This window comes from Homo sapiens, chromosome 1 (assembly GCF_000001405.40).
Source record: "Homo sapiens chromosome 1, GRCh38.p14 Primary Assembly".
Taxonomy (NCBI): domain Eukaryota; kingdom Metazoa; phylum Chordata; class Mammalia; order Primates; family Hominidae; genus Homo; species Homo sapiens.
In genome coordinates this window covers 30,511,919-30,531,272 of record NC_000001.11, presented here as the reverse complement: position 1 = coordinate 30,531,272, position 19,354 = coordinate 30,511,919, and the positions used below count along the sequence as shown (strand labels likewise).

At 49.8% G+C, this 19,354-nt stretch overlaps 1 annotated feature.

The window, feature by feature from the left end:
• Window positions 2,776–3,975: an enhancer, noted in NCBI's record as "CDK7 strongly-dependent group 2 enhancer chr1:31000145-31001344 (GRCh37/hg19 assembly coordinates)". NCBI's record gives its function as "activates an origin of replication core promoter dependent on BRD2, BRD4, P300/CBP, MED14 and CDK7 cofactors, with strong dependence on CDK7, by STARR-seq in HCT116 cells {active_cell/tissue: HCT116}" and the evidence as "EXISTENCE:reporter gene assay evidence [ECO:0000049][PMID:35650434]".

Here is a 19,354-nt window from a genome sequence, read left to right as displayed (position 1 = left end):
TTTTTATATTGGACAGATGTTTTATATTGTTATGTTTCAATAACATAACAATATAAAACATTTAAGAATAAAGCTGACAAAAGGTGGAAAAGACTTGTACACTTAAAACTGCTAAATATTGCTGATGGAAGCTGAAGAAGACCTAAACAAATGAATAAAAATACTGGGTTTTATGGATTAGAAGACTCCATATTGTTAAGATACCTATTGTCCTCAAATTAATCTATAGATTCAATAAAATCCTATTGTATTTAGGCTTTTAGCATCCTATACTGGATGCTGGACACCCCGTCCCCAGGAATTTACAGATGTTGGAACAAGTGGTGCACAGGCGTAATGGATGTGAAATAATCCTTATTAGTGACATGGTAAACAGGAAAAGGATGGGCAAGGGGGTTTGGTTTGGAGGGAAGCAGAAGCAAGGGTGGTGGTGGCAGCTTTGAGTGTTCACTGTTACTAGAGAGCGGAGCTGGGATGTGGGGTGGTTAGTGCCCATGTGTGGGCCAGGGCTTGAGTGATTTGAACTTTCTGCAGGTGTAGGAACAGAGGAAGGATATGGGTTTTCTTATCAGGTTGCCCAGGTGTGAGGCACAGGGGAAAGACTGGGAGACTTGAAAGCTGTCAGGGGTCAATATCAAATATGGAGTCTCTCCCTTTATTGTAAACCGTAGTCAAAATCCCACTAGGCTTAAACATATTTTCATTTTTATTCTTTTGAGACAGAGTTTTACTCTGTCGCCCAGGCTGGAGTGTAGTGGCACGATCTCGGCTCACCGCAACCTCTGCCTCCCAGGTTCAAGCGATTGTCCTGCCTCAGCCTCCCGAGTAGCTGGGGGGATTACAGGTGCATGCCACCACGCCTGGCTAATTTTTGTATTTTTAGTAGAGATGGGGTTTCCCTATGTTGGCCAGGCTGGTCTCGAACTCTTGACCTCAAGCGATCTGCCTGGTGCTGGGATTACAGGTGTGAGCCACCACACCAAGCATATATATATGAAATGTATTTTTAGATATAATATATAATATATGTATTTATATATATTATGCATATATGTATTTATATATTATATATTATATGTATTTTTATATATTATATATATGTATTTTTATATATTATATATAATATGTTTTTTATATATATTATATATAATATGTTTTTTATATATATTATAGATATAATATGTTTTTTATATATATTATAGATATATAATTTTTTTTTGTAGAAATTGAGAAGCAGATTCTAAATGCACATGGAAATTCAAAGGACCTATAAAAGCCAAAGCAACTTTGTAAAAGAAGTACAGGTTAAGGTTCAGGCGTGGTGGCTCATGTCTGTAATCCCAGCAATTTGGGAGGCCAAGGTGAGAGGATCGCTTGAACCCAGGGATTTGAGACCACCCTGAGCAACATAGTGAGAACCTGTCTCTCCAAAAAACAAAAATAAAAAAAATTAGCTGGGCATGGTGGCACGTGCTTGCAGTCCCAGCTACTCTGGACGCTGAGGTGGGAGGATCACACGAGCCCAGGAATTCAGGCCTGCAGTGGGCCTTGTTTATGCCACTGTACTCCAGCCTGGGCAACAGAGTGAGACCCTGTCTTAAAAACAAGCCAAAACGAACAAAAAAAGAAGTACAGATTCAGTCCCCAATTTTGAATTATAAAGTTACAGCAATCAAAGCAGGAGATATTGGCGTCAAGATAAATAGATCAGTGAAACAGTAGAGGGTCTAGAAATAAACTTATGTAAAGATTTACAAGTGATTTTTGACCACAGCATGAAGGCAATTCAGGAGAGTAAGAATAGTCTCCTCAACAAATGGTGGAGGAACAACTGGATAGTCATAAAACAAAGCAAACAAACAAAAAGGAAACTTTGATCCCTACCTTGTACCATATACAAAAATTGACTGGAAATGTATGATAGATCTAAATGTAAAATTTAAAACTACAAAACAACTTGAAGACAACATAGAAAAAATTTTACAGCCTTATTTTAGATCAAGATTGCTTCAATGTGGCAGAAAAAGTATGATCCATAAAAGAACAAAATGATAAGTTGGACGTCATCAAAAGAAAAAAACCATTGCTCTTTAAAAGACTCCGATAGGAGAATGAAAAGAGAAGACACAACCTAGGGGAAGATATTTGCAAGGCATATATTTAGTAAAGGACTTTTATCCAGAATATACAAAGATTCTCAAAACTCAGTAAAAAACCCAACAAAAAATAGCAAAAGACCTGAACAGACACTTTATCACAGAAGATATACAGATGACAAACAAATGAAAAGATGCTCTGACCCTTTGGTTATTAGGGAATCAAAAGTTAACACTACAGTGAGATGTTACTACATATTTATTAGAATGGCTAAAATTATGAAGACTGAACATATCATGTGCTGGCAAGGATGTGGAGGAAATGGAGCTCTCTGGCACTCTTGGTGATGATATAAAATAATACAACCATTTTGGAAAACAGTTTGGTAGTTTCTTAAAAAGTTGAAAATACACTTATCAGATGGTATAGTAATTCCACTCCGAGGAATTTATCCAAGACAAATGTCAGCGTTTGTCCACACAAAGACTTATACCTGAATGAACATTCTTTCATAGCTGCTCTATTTGTAAGAGCCACAACCTGGACACAGTTCACGTGTTCATCAAACAATGGATACAAATAATTGTGGGATCTCCATACAATGGGATACTACTCATCTACAAAAAGGAATGGACTGTTGATGGACTGTTCACATGTGCTGTATCAGGAATGATTCTCAAAATAATTATTGTGAGTGAAAGAAGCCAGACATACTGAAATATTTCATTTATATAAAACTCTTGAAAATACAAACTAATTTATAGTCACAGCAGATCAGTGATTGGGAATGGGGACAGGGAGCAAAAGAGAGAGATTGCTAAGGGGTGTGAGGGAACTCATTATCTTGATTATGATGATTTCATGGGTGTTTACATGTCAAAGGTATGCAATTTTATACTTTAAATATGCATCGTTTACTGTACGCAAATTATACATCAATAAAGCTGTTCAGAATAAATTACATTCCAACAAGGAAGGTTGTTGTGAGAGCTAATGACAACACCTGTGACTCTCCTGGCCCCAGGCTGGCACACAGTAGGCCCTAACTGAGTAGCGCTGTTGACAGCAGGTGGTCATGGAATGGCAGCCATTGCTGTGACCTCTCATCTGGCGCTTTGCAGGTGGGTGGTGTGTGTTGCTGGCAGGTCTGCCTCCGCCATCTGACTATGAACTTCTCATGGTCACAGGCACATGAACAATCGTTCTCTCTGAGCCCAGAGCCCTGCACATGGCCTGGCACTCCGTGGTGGATCTGCTGAGTCACTGGAAACTGGCTTCCTGGAAGATGAAGGACAGGGAGGGAGCTTTGTGCTCATTGTCCAACAACAGCCAGGCCCTGAACCTCTCTTGGTCATCTATTCAATAGCACACGTTTCAGCAGGACACAAATTCCTTGGCAGCAGAGGGAGTTATTTAAAGTACCCATGAAAATAGCTGGACCTTGATGAAACAGAGCAGTTGTCACCGCTGGGGCCCAGAGGTGCCTGAGGACAGGGAAATGTGGGCAGGATTTATTCCCGGCAGGACGCCTGTGTCATGGCCATGTTTAGGATGTAAAGACGCTGTCTGACCTTGGCGGTGTGAAGGGCCGCCTGGGCTCACAATGGGCAGGCATTTGTAAGCGCTGCTGTGACTGGGGATGTGGGGATCCTTGTCCCTTTCTCCTCTCATCTCATTTTCTGAAGTTCACTGGGAGCTGGGCTGCAAATGGCAGGTAGGAGAGGAGGTGCCCCTTCAGCAGCTTCAAAAATAGACCTCACAAGTGGCCAAGGGGTCACCAAGCTTTCCAGCATTAAGCACCTACCTGTTTTGTGTGCCTTGGAGTCCTGGGCTCTTATCTGACTGCCAGTGATGCGCTGGAGAGAACAGTCTCTTCCTCTCACTGAGCCTCACTTGCCTCACCTGGAAGCACCCTGCCTACCTCATGGGGATGTTGCTTGTTGAGAAATGTTGTTACAAACGGCTGGAGAGGCCACCCACATGGTCGGGTTTCAGGGATCCAGGGCAGATCTCTGCAACCCCCCAGCTCCCTGGGCAAATCCCAGGCCCACCCACAGTAGCTGCCTGACCAGTCTACAGATGCTGGGAGGGCATCCTGGAGAATCATTCCTTTGGGATAGGATGGCCCAGTTCAGGCTCCCTTTGTCTAAATCTCCACCAGCCCTGTGCCCTTCAGTTTGGATGCTTTTCTGCAGCATCAGGGATGACCACCCCTTGAAGAACAGACAGGCAGGGGGAGGGTGAACATGAGGAACCTGCCCAATAGCAGCCCTCATGAATGATCACCATGGCCAGGTATTGCTTTCAGCACTTTATGTATTTTATCTTATTTAACGCTCATATGGCTGAGGCACAGAGAGGTTAAGTGACTTCCTCAAGGTCACACAGCTAGTCGGTGGTAGAGGTAGTGAACCTCTTGAACCCAGGGACTCACTTGAACCCAGGGAGTCTGATCCCAGAGACCCTCTCCCAACCCTAGGCTGGGCTCGGCCTCTGTTCTGGGTGGGCTCTGTGGCTGATGACCACCCCTGCCCACCTGGTTGGCTTCCCCATTCCTGTACTTTCCAGCTTCCAGCCCTCTCTGCCCATGTTTCCTGTGACCACCTGCCCCACCCCTGCCCTGCAGATGCATGGTGGCCTCCAGGCCCTGGGCTCCACCATGTCCTCCAGGATGTCACGGAGTCTCTCTCCTTTCTCAGCTTCAGAGGGACACGATCAAGGGAAAAGTCCTCTCTTTGGATTCGGGCAGGATTCCAGCTGAGGGGCCCCAGGCAGGATTACTATTAATGCTGATCACTGGTCACTCTGGAAGATGGAGCCCTAGAGCCATAGTGTGGGTGTGTGAGATCCTTTCCTGACACCCGACAAGGGGCAGAAGGCTGACCTGGTCCTTCCTTCATTGCACCAGCCGGGGGTTCCCTCTGAACCAGCCGACCAGGGATGACTCATGAAACAAGAGCCTGGCTGTGGCTGGAACACCATGACATAAATTTATTGGCAGCAGAGGGATTATTTAAAGTCTCCATTAAAACAGCTGGACCTTGACAGAAACAGAGCAGTTGTCACTGCTGGAGCCTGAAATGTCCCGAGCTGGGCGGGGACACGTGGCTGGCTCTGGCAGGTCTCTAATACTGTTTGGGACTGATGGACACACTTGAATCTGATGCCACAGTGGCTCCTGTCCACTCACTCCCCTCTCGGCTCCTGCCTCTGCCTGGTGCTATGCCCAAGGATCCTGATGGACTCCCATTTAAGCCTCATTCACCTGCACCCTCACTAGCCTGCCAGGGCCTGTGCTATGTGTGGAAGCTGGGCGGGGGCTCGCAGACACACAGACCCAGGAGTTCCCTCTCTCCTCCCCCTCCCTGGGAATGCCTCCTCTACCACTCAGGGAGATGGGCCTCTGTTCTGGGGTGGGGCTAGCACATGGCTGTGAAAGAGCTTTGTGACTCTTTGTGGCTTCATGAGATTAAACCTTCAACTGGGGGTCCGGAGGCCTGGGCTCCAGTCCCAGCTGTGCCTCCTACTAACTGTGCGGACCTCCCTGGTCCTCAGTTTCCTCCTAGGATTCTGCCTCACGTGGTTCAAAGAGGGTTGTGGGGGCCACATGGGGTTTCAAAGAGAAAGCACTTCATAAACCATCATGGGGCACACATCAGAGAATTTCCTCCTCCTCTTCTTCTTCCCTCTGTTCCTCTTCCTGTTTCTCTTCCTCCTCCTCCTCCCTTTCCTCCTCTTCCTCTTCCTCCTTCCCTTCCTTCTCTTCCTCTCTCTCCCCCTCTTTCTTATCCTCCTCCTCCCCTTCCTCCTACTCTTTCTTTCCCTCCTCCTCCTCTTTCTTCTTCAGCAGAATTTGGGGCTCAGTTGTAAGATGATGGGTTAACTTCCTTTTTTTATTTCCCCCCAGGGTAAGCTTTCTATGCGGCTTCAGAATCCCTCTGCATAAGCGGCCCCCATTCCTGATGCCCCTCACACCAGCGGCTCACCCCAGGCCTGGCTGGTCTAGGGCAGAGCAGCATTAGCGCTGGGCTAGCTCATGTGGGCGTGTGGGGGAGGAACACTGAGCTTCTGTTCCTCACATGTGTCCCATGATCTTGTCTTGATGGTGTCCTGATTATTCACTGGGGAAACCGACTGACTTCCACGGCAGAAACTCTTGGAGGGGCAGACACTGGAGGCGGCCCCACTTGTCCACAACCAGCGACTGGCCCCTGACCTTGGCCAGATGCTCTCCCTGCCCTGGAGGGAGCACTCGGCCCAGCTCAGGCCCCATGGAACTGGATGCTGGCTCCTCCTTTGAAATCCAGGAGCTGCCCCAGCCACTGTTCCTCCTGGTTTGACTTGCTGCTCTTGTCTTCAGTGCTGCAGCAGTGGCACCTCTGCACATCCAGTACCTTCTCCTTCTTCTCTTTTTCTTTCTTTCTTTCTCTTTCTTTCTCTCTCTCTCTCTCTTTCTTTCTTTCTTTCTCTTTCTTTCTTTTTCTCTCTTTCTTTCTTTCCTCCTTCCTTCCTTCCTTCCTTCTTTTCCTTCCTTCCCTCCCTCCTTCCTCCCTTCCCTTCCCTTCCCTTCCCTTCCCTCCCCTCCCCTTCCCTTCCCTCCCCTCCCCTCCCCTCCCCTCCCCTCCCCTCCCCTCCCCTCCCCTCCCCTCCCCTCCCCTTCTCACCCTGTCACCCAGCCTGGAGTGCAGTGGCACGATCTTGGCTCACTGCAACCTCCGCCTCCCGGGTTCCAGCAATTCTCCTGCCTCGGCCACCCAAGTAGCTGGGATTACAGGCGCCTGCCACCACACCCAGCTAATTTTTGTATTTTGTAGTACAGATGGGGTTTCACCATGTTGCCCAGACTGGTTGAACTCCTGGCCTCAAGTGATCCACCCACCTTGGCCTCCCAAAGTGTTGAGGTTACAGGCATGAGCCACCGCGCCTGGACTGTATCTTTTTCATACATCATCTAGAATCCAATTCTGCTGCTGTAGGCAGACCCATGACAAGGAAAAATAGTTTATCCCATATGCCCTGACCCACCCACAGGGCTGAACGATTGTGGCTGTGTGAACCTCAGACCCACCAAAAAAGGGAATGAAAATGGAGTTCACAGCAGCCTTCTTGATGAAGGGGGAGGCAATGTCACCCCCTTTCCTTCCCCATTCACTCCCCATTCCCTAGCTTCCTTCCCCAAACACTCTCCATTCCCTAGCTCTGAAACACTGGTCCTCATGATCTGGGCCAGGTGGCAGGAGGTGCCAGGTGACATATGTGAGCCAGGTGACAGGTGTGATGCCAGTGGCCCCACCTAGACTCTGACTCATGGTGGCTGGGCCCTTGTCCTTGGTTGCTTGATGCAAAGGGAACAGTAAGGACCACACCGGGTGTCAGTGCATCAATCAGCAAACACAGAACAAGCTCTTGGCTGGGGCTTGGTGCTGTCATGGTCTTTTTATAGCCACTTACAAGCTTGTGGCTTTGGGCAAGAGATATAGCCCTGAAACCTTGTTCTCACCTGGAAATGGTGATGGTGTTGACCCTGAGTTCCTCATGGTGCTGTTGTGAGAGTCAGGTGAGTTGCTCCACAGAGAGCTCTCAGGACAGCAGAGGCTACGCCATGATGACAGTGGCAACATGAGGCTGATGCTGGCTCTCCCATTCCCACAGCTCCCCATCATCAGGTTCAGCACCTTCTTGTTGGTCCATCTCCCAAAAGGCTATGTCATCAAGAAGGGGCCTCATCCCTCCTCTCTGGCTTAGCTGGTACTATCACCTACATATTGGAGGAGGGGCACATTTTTATTGTCTCAAGGCTTCATCTCATCCAGAAAGGAGGAGTTTACTTACCCTGGGAACTAAATCATGCTGGCAGTCAGGCCAGCAGAGACCAGCACGAGCTTGGGTCTTTTGCTGTCTGATCATAGTGGTTATGTGTCATAGCCAAGCTGACATTTTTTTCTCCTTTCTCACCTTCTAAAGAAAGATGACCATCAACAGGAACTATGCCAGTTTAATCTCTCTGAGCAATGTCTCACCACCAGTGCAGGGACGTGCTAGGAGAATGTATGATCCAACCTGCTCACTGGGAAGGTAATTCCAGGCAGCAGGAACAGCAGGAGAATTTGGGGAAACCGAGGTACAGGGTGGGAATTCAACCTGCTCAAAGTCACATAGTAAGTTGGTGACAGAACAGAGACCAGGATTTGATCTCCTGACCCATGGCTGATGTAGTCTTGGCTCTGCCTTGGCCCACGTGGTTTTGAGGGGTGTGGAGACAGCAGTGAAATGAAGCCCATGGAGCAAAGGCCTCATGCTGGAACTCCCTGGGCTTCAGAGGGGCTGGCGCATGAGGGCTTTCCCAGTCTGGACTGGGGCCAGTGGACAGACTTGAGGTCATGATAGCGGGAGATGAAATTGTCAGAGGCGCTCGGTGAAATGAGGACAACCTGGCAGATATGGTCTGTCGGTATCAGGTTGCCAACTGCTTGCCAACACCTCCTAAATGAGTGTTGCCTGATCCCAGTTTGGGAAATGCCGTGTGCAGGCATTTAAAAGTCAATGTGATTTCACCATGAACTTTCACAGAATTGGCTGGGCTTCCCTGCGAGTTTGAGCAGAGTTAGGAGGTGTGAGCATGTGTTTTCTCTATTCCGCTGACATATGATGCAATGAATCCCCGTCTCAGATGGAGCTTGTGTTCTGGTGGGGGATGCAGATAGTACACAAGCAATCATGCTGGGAAGTGAGAAGTTCCGTGGGGGAATTGGACAGGGTGAGGAGACGGAAGTGAGGAGGGTGGGCAGTGTGTCAGTGGGGATGTGGCAAGGGACAGATGAGATGGCACAGTCAAGTCAGGCAATTTTTGGAGAGTGTAAAAAAGAGACCAAGAAGGCGAAGGCATGGGCAGGGCATAAGGAAATCCTGGAGATGGTGCTGTTTCCTGGCATCCGGCAACAGAGGGCTCCATTACCACCCTTGGGTTTGCGAGGGTGCGGGGAGGAGCAATGAGTGGAACCCGGAGATGGAGAAAGCTGGGTGGAGGAGCCCTGCCAGGGGGCTGGGTGGGGAGGGACCACATGATAACAGGAGCTGAAAGCTGCAGTCTGAGGAAAGCTAGCCTTAGCTCTTCCCAGGGCAGGACCTTGTCAGGGGATAAACACCCCAACCTTCCTCTCCTCCTCCTTCCTTGATCTCCTGCTGGGGCTCCCTGTTAACCAAACTCACCTTGAAGCCAGAGGATGAGGAGCCCCTTGATGTAGCCGATAAGGGCTGCCACCCAGAAGCACAGAGTAGAGGGGACAAGGGTGAAGCGAGGGTGGGAAGGGACACCCCTGTGCAGGGGGAAGGGTGACCTTAGCACAGTGCTCAGGGAAGATGATTTGGAGGAGACAATGTTGAAATTGACAGCTGAGGCTGAGAAGGAACCAGCATGAGAAAAGCCAGGGGAGGGAGCTCCTGGGAGAGGGAACTGTAGGGCCAAATGATTGAGAGGCAGGTGAGGCCAGATCCCATGGCCGTGAGGGCTGGGTGAGAAGCTTGGGTTTTATTCCAAGTTTAGCCGGAGGCAATGGCTGACTTTTAAGCAGAGGAGCAACATGATTCCACCTGTGAACCAGGCAGGGATGGGGGCAGGGGATGTCAGGGAGGCTGTAGCTGTGGGCAGGCCAGATGAGAGGCCTGGACTGGGCAGTGGGCAGAGATGAAGGGACATGACCGGAGTGGGATGCATTTTGGAAGGAGTATCTCAAAGAGCTGCAGGATGGATCAGATGCAGAGGGCAGAGGGCAGAGGACAGGAGTGATCAAGGGGACTCCAGGGCTTGTGGTCAGTGTGGGGTGGGGTGAAGCTGTGCCCTGGGCTGGGTAAGGTGGGAGAAGAGTCAGTTCAAGGGAGGAAATAGCCCTGTTTTAAACAAGAAAGCTGAAGATGGGTTTTAGACCTCCAAGGGAAAATGCCAGAGCAGGCAGCTATGAATCTGGGGCTGCCTGTTTAGAGGACAGGGGGTCATCTTTGAAAGGACAATTACATTAATTTCATTTTAATTGAAGGACTTGTTCATTCTTAATTATTCTTAAAATCTTAGCACTTTGGGAGGCTGAGGTAGGTAGATCATCTGAAGTCAGAAGTTTGAGACCAGCCTGGCTAACATGGCGAAACCCTGTCTCTACTAAAAATACCAAATTAGCCAGGCGTGGTGGTGCATGCCTGTAATCCCAGCTACTCTGGAGGCTGAGGCAGGAAAATGGCTTGAACCCGGGGAGCAGAAGTTGCAGTGAGCCAAGATCGTGCTGCTTTTCTCCAGCCTAGAGAAAAGAGTGAAACTCTATAACAAACAAACAAAATATGTGTATGGGGGTTGGTGAGATGTTGGTCAAAGGATGTAAAATTTCGGTTATATAAGGGGAATAAGTTCAAGAGATCTATTGTACAACGTGGTGACTATAGTATTAAAATATGGATATTTACTAAGCACCCTGCTGTGCTGGGCACAGTCTTGGGAGCAGAGGATATGCTGGCTGCAGATCAGAGGAGGCTGCATGAGGCTAGGCTCAGGCAGAGAGAACATAGACATGATCAGACACCTCCCCAAACACTCAGTGCCTATTGGGGGACAGGGCTGGTCATGGAGTTGGAGGAGCAGATTCCTCATCCCATCTCTGAGGTTTTGTGCTGAGTGACCAGGGCTGGTGTCTGAACTTCTCTTGTCTCAGCCTGGAGTCAGGGTCCACCCAGCCCTCTTCTGCCCTCAGTATCTATGAGCTGGGGGTCTTCAGGGAGTGACAGTGTGGTTTTCCTGGCTGTTGCCCAACCCTACATGGACTCAGGTCCTGTTGCAGTTCTGGCCACCCCAGACATCAAACTGCAGTTGTAGGAAGGTACCAAGAGAGCCTCCCAGGATCAGGAGTTACCCATCTGAATCCATAGTTTGGATGTTTAACTAAATGTGATAGAGTGAAAATGGATATGACATAAAAGGCATCTGAGGCCAAGAGAAAAATGGGCCTCAAGCAGCTAGCAGGCCAAATTGCAAAGCAAAAGATGAGTTTCAGGAAAACTGATGGTGAGCTTTTCACTTTCTGCCCAACTTAAGTAGAGGAGGAGGACTGAGGGGCTGGGGGTTCTTAATGCGTCAGGATAGTTCCAAGCCCAGGATGAAGGAGGCATGCGGCCTCTGGAGCTCTATTGCCTTCATGGTTGAAATGGTGTGACCTTCCAGGACACTTGATATTGCTGTGCCTCAGTTTTCTCATACGGAAGATAAAACCAAGAAAACTTCTTTTGCATAAGTTATTGTGCTGTGAGAGATGGTGTGTGTGAGGCACCCAATGCAGCACCAAGCAAGGTATATGCTCCACCATCACTTGGTGTCATCATCCTCTCATCATCTTCATTTTCTCCATCATCATCTTCTCCATCATCATAATCTTTATAATCATTATCTTCTTCATCATCATCATCTTCTCCATCATCATAATCCTCTCCATCATCATAATCTTCCCCATAATCATTATCTTCTTCATCATCATCCTCTCCATCATCATAATCTTCTTCATCATAATCTTCCCCGTAATCATTATCTTCTTCTTCATCGTCATCTTCTCCATCATCATCATCATCCTCTCCATCACATCATTTTCTCCATCATAATCCTCTCCATCATCATAATCTTCCCCATAATCAGTATCTTCTTCATCATCATCATTTTTTCCATCATCATCGTCATCATCCTCTCTGTCATCATCACCTCCATCATCATCCTTTCCATCATCATTATCTCCATCATCATGTTCATCATCATTCTCTCCTTCATCATCATTCTCTCCATCATCATCCTCTTTATCATCATCTTCTCCACCATCATCATCACCATTATCCCCATCCTTGTCATCATTCTCTCCATCACCACCATCATCATCATCATCCTCTCCATCATTATCGTCATCATTATCCTGTTCATCATCACCATCCTCCTCATCTTTTCCATCATCATCATCTTTCCCATCAGCATCCTCTCCATCATCATCATCATCATAGTACTGTCAGTATTAACAACAACACTATCATTAACTATTATTATTATTATCTATTACTGCCTCAGAGACTCATAGAGTTTTAAAGACCTGAGATATCTGGTTAAATGCTTTTCATTCACTTGTGAAAATGCCAAGACCCAAAGAGAAGAAGGGGCTTGCCCAAGCCCTGTGGTGGAGCTGGGACTGACTCCCAGTTCTGACTTCCGTGCCAGAGCCCTTCCAATGGCATTCCGGTGCCTCTACCTCTGGCATCCAGACATGCCGTCACTTGGTGTCATGGGGTTTGCAGGAATGTATTGACCATATCTATGTGGACAATGAAGGATTATATGTGGGAAGAGAAGGGAAAGCAGCAGTTTTTAGGCCTAAGAGGTTCCAAGTGACTTCCCAGGCTGACTCCAGTTTCTGAGTAACTTGTAATAGCTGTGTATATAGGCCTTTGTCTTTGTGGTCTCAGAGGTACCTGGCCCTGGAGGTGAGACATCATGGGAGCCAGGAGACAAACACCATCTGGGCTCCATCCATGCTGGGGATAGAAGAAAGGGCACCAGAAATGACCCAAAGTTATGCCCTGTGAGACTTTAGCAACTCACTTGACTAATGTGTTGGTTCCAGGCCCTGGGGCTCGTTTTCCCTGGGCCTGGTGGAGAGTCTGGGGACTAGCAGGTCTGCAAATAGGCCAGGGGTTTACTTTGAGTGTGCCCAGCCCTGGCCAGGCTGAGACAGTGTGGGTGCATGGAGGAAGATGGGGATAGGGAGAGGCCAAGTGCATCATGAAGGGCCTCAAATGTCTGGAGAGTAAGGGGCTGTGGCAGGTTTCCAGTCAGATTTGCCCCTGGGGCTGGTGGGTCACAGCCATCTTCCCAGCTGCAGGGATGGAGACCCCACAAAAGCCATTTGAGGGTTGATGCCTCCCGAGGGTGTCTGCATGGTGGTGCTTCCTTCACATTGCTTTCCAATCTCAACTCAGCCAGGCCACAGGACCTTGGCCTGGGTCAAACTCACTCCTCACTGTGGCCAGTTAATTTCATCTTGCCATAAATTTTCAACGGATTGCTAATCAATAAGAACTTGGCAGCTACTACTGAACCTCAAAGTCAAGGGGTAAAAAGAATCTAAATGATGTCTGCCAGGTTGTTGTATTTACCGGGCTCCATGCTTATTGCCTGTTGTTTTGAGTTAATTATCTGGTGCCTAAGTGTATCACTTCTACATCTCAAGCACTGCTCTTACAATCAATTCATATTTAATTAACGCGACTGCTGATTGAATGGCAATGGTGTTATAGTGTGCGACACAGAGGAGGAGCGTTTCCTGCACGCACAGCTGCAGGAAGGAGGAGCTGATGTGGATGAGGGGAGGGGGCACTCTTACAGCCTCTGAGCTCCCCCATTAACTCCCCAAGGTGACCTTGGCAGCCTGGAGTGGGGTCAGAGTTCCTGGGTTGCTGGGATCAGAGTTCCCAGACTGCTCCCTTCTAGTGGGGCCTGTGGTCTCAGGAATTACAAAACCTGAGTGGGAGATTTTCTAAAAAGGGGACAGTAATGCCAATTTCATGAGGCTGGTCATTCCTCCCTGAATGTGAGCCTTCGGACAGAAGCCAAACTCAGTGAATGTTGGTGGAAGGAAGGGGTGGGTGAACAGAGAGAGGAGGCAGGTCCGAGGACGGAATCCTGTCCCTTCTCCCCTGCCCGACCCCCCTGCAAAGTGCTATGATGGAGGATGTGCCAGATGCAGGGACAGGTGGGGTGGGGGCTGCCCATGGAGAACATGATGCCTGGCCTGGGTCTTGAAGCGTGAGTAGGAGTTTCCTGGATGGACAGGCAGGGGCAAGGGTGTTCCAGAGAGAAAGCACGGCATGAACAAAGGCCTGGAGGCAGGGACTGAATGTCACTGTTGCCCGGAAATAACCAGAGCATCAGAGAAAAGAGAATGAGGGCCGGATGGAGGGAGCCAGTACTGAAAGTGTCAACACCTGGGCAATCCCCGCAGAGAGTTGTTGGAAAAATTTAAATATAATATATAAGTTCACTTATTTTAGAGTCACCTGCTTGATTGCAAATCCTGCCTCCATTTTTCTGTTTTGGGACAGAGTCTCACTCTATTGCCCAGGCTGGAGTGCAGTGGTGTGATCACAGCTCATGGCAGCCTCTACCTCCCCAGCTCAAGTGGTCCTCCCACCTCAGCCTCCTGAGCAATGGGGACTACGAATGCACACCACTATGATTGGCTAATTTTTTATTTTTTGGAAAGGTGGGGTCTTGCTATATTGTCCAGGTTGATCTTGAACTCCTGGCCTCAAGCTAACCTTGTACCACAGCCTCCCAAAGTGCTAGAATTACAAGTGTGAGCAACCATGCCCAGCCTCCGCCATTTTAAACCTATGTGATATTAGGGTACTTATTTAACCTCTCTGTGCCTCAGTTTCCTCATTTGTGGGTGGGGATAATGGCAGCACCCCCCTCACTGGGCTAGGGTGAGGATAACACCCAGGTGCAGTGTTTCCAGCAGTGCCCGGCTCTCAGTAGGTGTCATGAGGGCCGTTGCTGGGATTGGTGCTCATGATATGCCTGATGCCTGGTGTTTTCCTCCAACCTTTGGAACCACTAGGCAGATGGGTGGATAGGACCATGGGTCACGTTGAAGAAACTGAGTCCCAGGGAGGTGAAATGGCTTCTTCAAAGTTTTATGGCTGAACTGGTGAGCTGGGGAGCCAAGATCTATCCCCATCTGTTTGACTTTGGAGCCCACCTAGTTCCCAGAGCAGTGTCTGACTCCTGGTGAGGCTGCTCTTTTCCCTCCCACCGTCCCGGGTAGGTGCCCATAGCGCCAGCCTCCCCTGACTGAGACACAGTGGTTCACACAGAGACCCCGAGCTGCTCAGCAGAGAATGACCCCACCCATTCATACGGCCAGCCCAGACTTTCTAGGGGTGCTCTCCCTTCCCTCCCTCTGCCTCAGCCCCTCAGCTCTACACACAAAGCCCCTCCTCAGTCCTTCTAGCAGGAAACAGGGGCCTCATCCCTCCTCTGGGCTCACTGAGGCCCATTCACCTGCCCCGCCTTGTAGTGAGTGCAGGAATAGTGCCTGCACTAAAATCCATGTCTGGATGTGCCCCTGCTGCAGGGGGTTAGCCTTTGTACACACAGAAAATCTCTAAAGATTCATCTCCTGATATTTATTCCGGAAACTGGAACATGTAGATGAGAGTGTGATACCGGAAATGCAGAATAAATTTACATTCTCTAAGCCACAAAGAGCCACATTCACAAAGCACTGAGGGAGGTGGGCAGGAAGAGGGAAAACCTTCTCAGCCAAAGGAAGCGCTGGCAGCCCTTCTTCCAGGAGTGAAGGCTCACACGTGCAAATCCCAGCCCCTAAGAACTCACCTGCCCTACAGGTCTGTAGTTCTGGAACTCAGAACTGCATTTAATAGAATCTTAACATCATACAATTTCAAGTCAGAATCACAGCATTTTAGGATTTGGGGGAATTTAATGATCACCTTGCCCAGACCTTTGACCATCCCCCAAGTCCTGTCCACCCTTCTCTGCTAAGTCCTGTCCACCCTTCTCTGCTAAGTCCTGTCCACCCTTCTGATCGCATCCCATGGCCACCTCCTCCAAAGCCCTCCTTGACCCCCCAGGCCAGGTCAGACCCCCCCATCATCATGGACTCTTCTAAAGAGGAGACTTCTGAGCAAGGATCTGAGTGAGTAAAGGAGTGAGCCATTACAAAAAGCAAAATGCCTTCCAGACAGAGGGAACAGCAAGGGCGTAGGCCCTGAGGCCGGAGTGTGCATGGTGCATTTGAGGAAGAGCAAGGCCTTGTTTGACCTTTCTGGGCTGGTCAGACCCTGAGACTTGGGGCCACATCAGGAATAAGGAGAGGATGCTCCCCCCAGGAGTAGGGAACTTGAGGACAGATGCTGGGCACACAGTAGGTGCTTAATAAAAGCCTGACTGTGTTCAGTTCAGGGCCCCACATGGCCAGAGGAAGCTGACATTAGGTGAGTTGGTCGAGAGGACTGGGTGCTGGCTAGAAGCCAGGTCAGGGGAGGGGCAGGTAAGGGTCCCGTGGTGTTTTTCTTGAGAAGAGAAGGGAGTGCCTTTCAGGGGCTCTTGGAATAAGGGCTGAGCTGCACGTAGAGGCCCCAGATGTGGCCCAGGCCCAGTGTGGGAACCACTGGGCAATGGTTGTAGCTGAGTGGATGGAAGGTTGGGGGGTGAGACGAATGATTGAGACTGTGCAGTGTTTAAAATGTTCCTCAGGCACAGGGAAGCGTTGAAAAGAATGTTTCCATTTATTTGAGGAAAGGCCAATTTTCTCCTCTCATTTATCCGTCCCACACACACAGGGTGGGAAGAACACCTGTCCCTTAAGCTGGAGGATGCCAAGGCTCTAACCTGCCTGCTGTGTAGGCTCAGTGAGGCTACTGCTCTTCTCTGACCCTTGGTTTCCTCTTCTATGAAACTGGAACATGATACCCCTGCAAGGCTGTTGTAGGTTGAATGCAGTGATGTAAATTGAGGGCCAAGCTTGGAGCCAGCACAGAGTGGGCACTAAAATATGCCAGGCTTCTCCTTTTGATGAGAGGATCTCCATTCCCTCTTTAGGCTCAGAGACTTTTCTGGCCTGAATGTGCAGCTGGACGGGAAGAGCAGTGAGACGGGAAGTGGGAGGAGCCTGAGATGGACTCCTCTGCCCCAGCCTCACTCTGTCCCCTAGGAGGCCACCACACCTCCCTGACCCTGCATGGACCCTTTAGGACAAAGGAAGTCGCATCTCTGCTCCTAGACCCAGGGGGTGGGACCTGATGGAGACTTGAGACATCCTTCCAAGACCTAATGTGGGTGAGATGGCCCAGACTCCGTGCAAAGGAAGGCAGGATGAGGAGGAAGTGACCATCTTCGTCAAGGTGCACAGAGCTGCACAGCAGCCCAGATGGCTCTGCTGAGAAGACACCTCATTTGGAAGTAAACACAGGCTCCGTTTAAGGATACAGGGTGGACCAGAACACTCACACCTGAACACGTTTGTGTAAACTTAACTGCATCATCTGTTCTCTGCATCTTTTGAATGGAAAACCAAAGAATTTTGAAATGCTCAGCTTGTGGCTGAAGGAAGGGCAGGCAGAGCCCAGGCTGGCTTTGCGGACTCTGCCCTTTGGGAGGGGCTGCTCTGGCTCAGCCTGCTGTGAGAATCAAATGAGTCCCTGGCCTCAGCGGCACAATGATGCAGCTGGACTTAGAGGGCCTCTGTCTTAGGCGGGCTCTCCCCAAACAGTCCCTGAAGCAAGGTTTTGAGTTGCTGGTGGTGTATTTGGGAGGTAACCTCAGGAAGCATACAGAAGGGAGTAGAGAGAGAAAGAGCTGGAGGGAGAGAAGGGTCAGAAAGGCGGCATCGGGGAGCTGATATTTCTTTGGGCAACTGACTCCCTTCTGCTGGGGCCCCTTGTAGAAACCACATGCTGCATGCCCCGACTGCCTCCCGCCCCTTATGGTTGAGGTCTACCTGTGTGTGCCTGAAATACCCTGCACCTCTAGTTGGCCCTGTTCATGGGCTGTGCAAGCTCCTCTGGGGCTGGAGACATCCAGAGCGTGGCACCTGCAGCAGGAAGCTGGGAGGTTCTTGGGAACTGTCCACTGCAGCTTCAGGTGAGCTCAGGCATGGCCTGAGGGGCTAGGAGGTGGCACAGCAAGAGCCCCGCTGCATCTCCCAAGTCCCTCACTGCTCTGACATTCTCGGATTCTCACGGCTCTGCAGGCAACTCAACTCCAGGCTCTGTCCCTGGAGCTGTCCAGATCCTCAGGGTCAGGAATTTGTGTTGTGTCTGTGTTGCTTATTGCTGCAGTCCCAGCATCTAGAACAGTGCTTATTAATACTCATTTGGTGGCATAAATTGGCTGCATGGTGAGCATCTTTCTTGAGCCCCCACCATCTGGCACGCCCTGAGCTAGGCACTGAGGGTGTGGCGTTGAATCAGGCCTGGTCCCTGCCCTTAGGAGCTTGCGGCATGGGAAGGAGGTGAACGTACAAAAATCATTGTCACTTCCACAGCAATGTGGTCCCTGCCGTCTACTGAGCCGCTTCCGTGCACAGAGTGCTTTGCCTTTGTCACTGCCTCGCAGCCTCCACTGGCCACATAGGGTCCTGATGGTCATGGCTACTTCACTGGTGAGAAACTCAAAGCTCAGAGAGGCAAGATGACTTGCCACGCTCACCCAGCTGGTGTGGAGCAGAGGTGGGATTTGAACTCAGGGCTTTTGGCCCCAAGTACGTCAGCTCTGCCTCACGTTAACAACTCAAACACGAGAGGCCGTGCAGGTCTAGATGAGAGATGCTTCCAGCCATGGGACTCCGGAGGGCCCTGGGGTCAGAGGAGGTGAGTCTGCAGAGGTTCTAGGAGGACATTGAACCAGGGAGGGTGTGGGTGGCTGGAGAGACAAGGGGCCGGCTCTCTTGGCAGAGGCCATGTTAAAGTAAGGTCAGTGGGCAGTGCAGTGAGGGGCAGGGCCCCGCAGGAGCCAGGGCTCCCTCACACAGGGCTGCAGTAACTCTCAAAGGCACTGATGACGAGGGACGGTGCAGGACCCCAGGATTAACAGCAGCAGGGAGTCCTTCAGTGCCAAGGTCTGAGGAGGGGCAGTCAGAGCCAGCTAGAGAGCTGCATGTGGAGCTCCGCCGAGAAGGGCTGTGGCCTTTGGGGGAGGAATGCAGCCAATCCGGAGACACAGCAGGGGAGGTGCAGGGAGATGAACGCCTGTTCTCTCATCTCCTGCTAGTGGCCCCAGTGGCCAAGCCCACCCTGAAGCCAGAGGGCCTGCCTGCACAGGGCCTCTGGGACCACAGAGCAGGATGGCAGGGGTGAGGGTACAGATCAGCTTGTTGGGAAAGACGGAAGAGACCCTGAGCAAGGAGCTCTTGAGGATAGGGAATTTTAATGGTTGTCAAAGCCAGGCCAAGACAGTCACTTAGTCATTCAGAAAACATTTACAGTTTCCGCATCAGGCTCCGTGTAGGCAGGAAGAGTCAGAGACAGAGACAAGAGCAAATGCTTATTTAGTGCCGTCTACACACCAGGCACCACCTAACACTGCAGGTATTCACTCCTTTCACCCTCGCAGGCCCTATGAGGTGATGTCAGTGTGACCCCCACTTGAAACATGATGAAACTGAGATACAGAAGGATAAAGTCACCTGCCACATCATGCTTTAGTAAGTGGCGATGCTGGAGC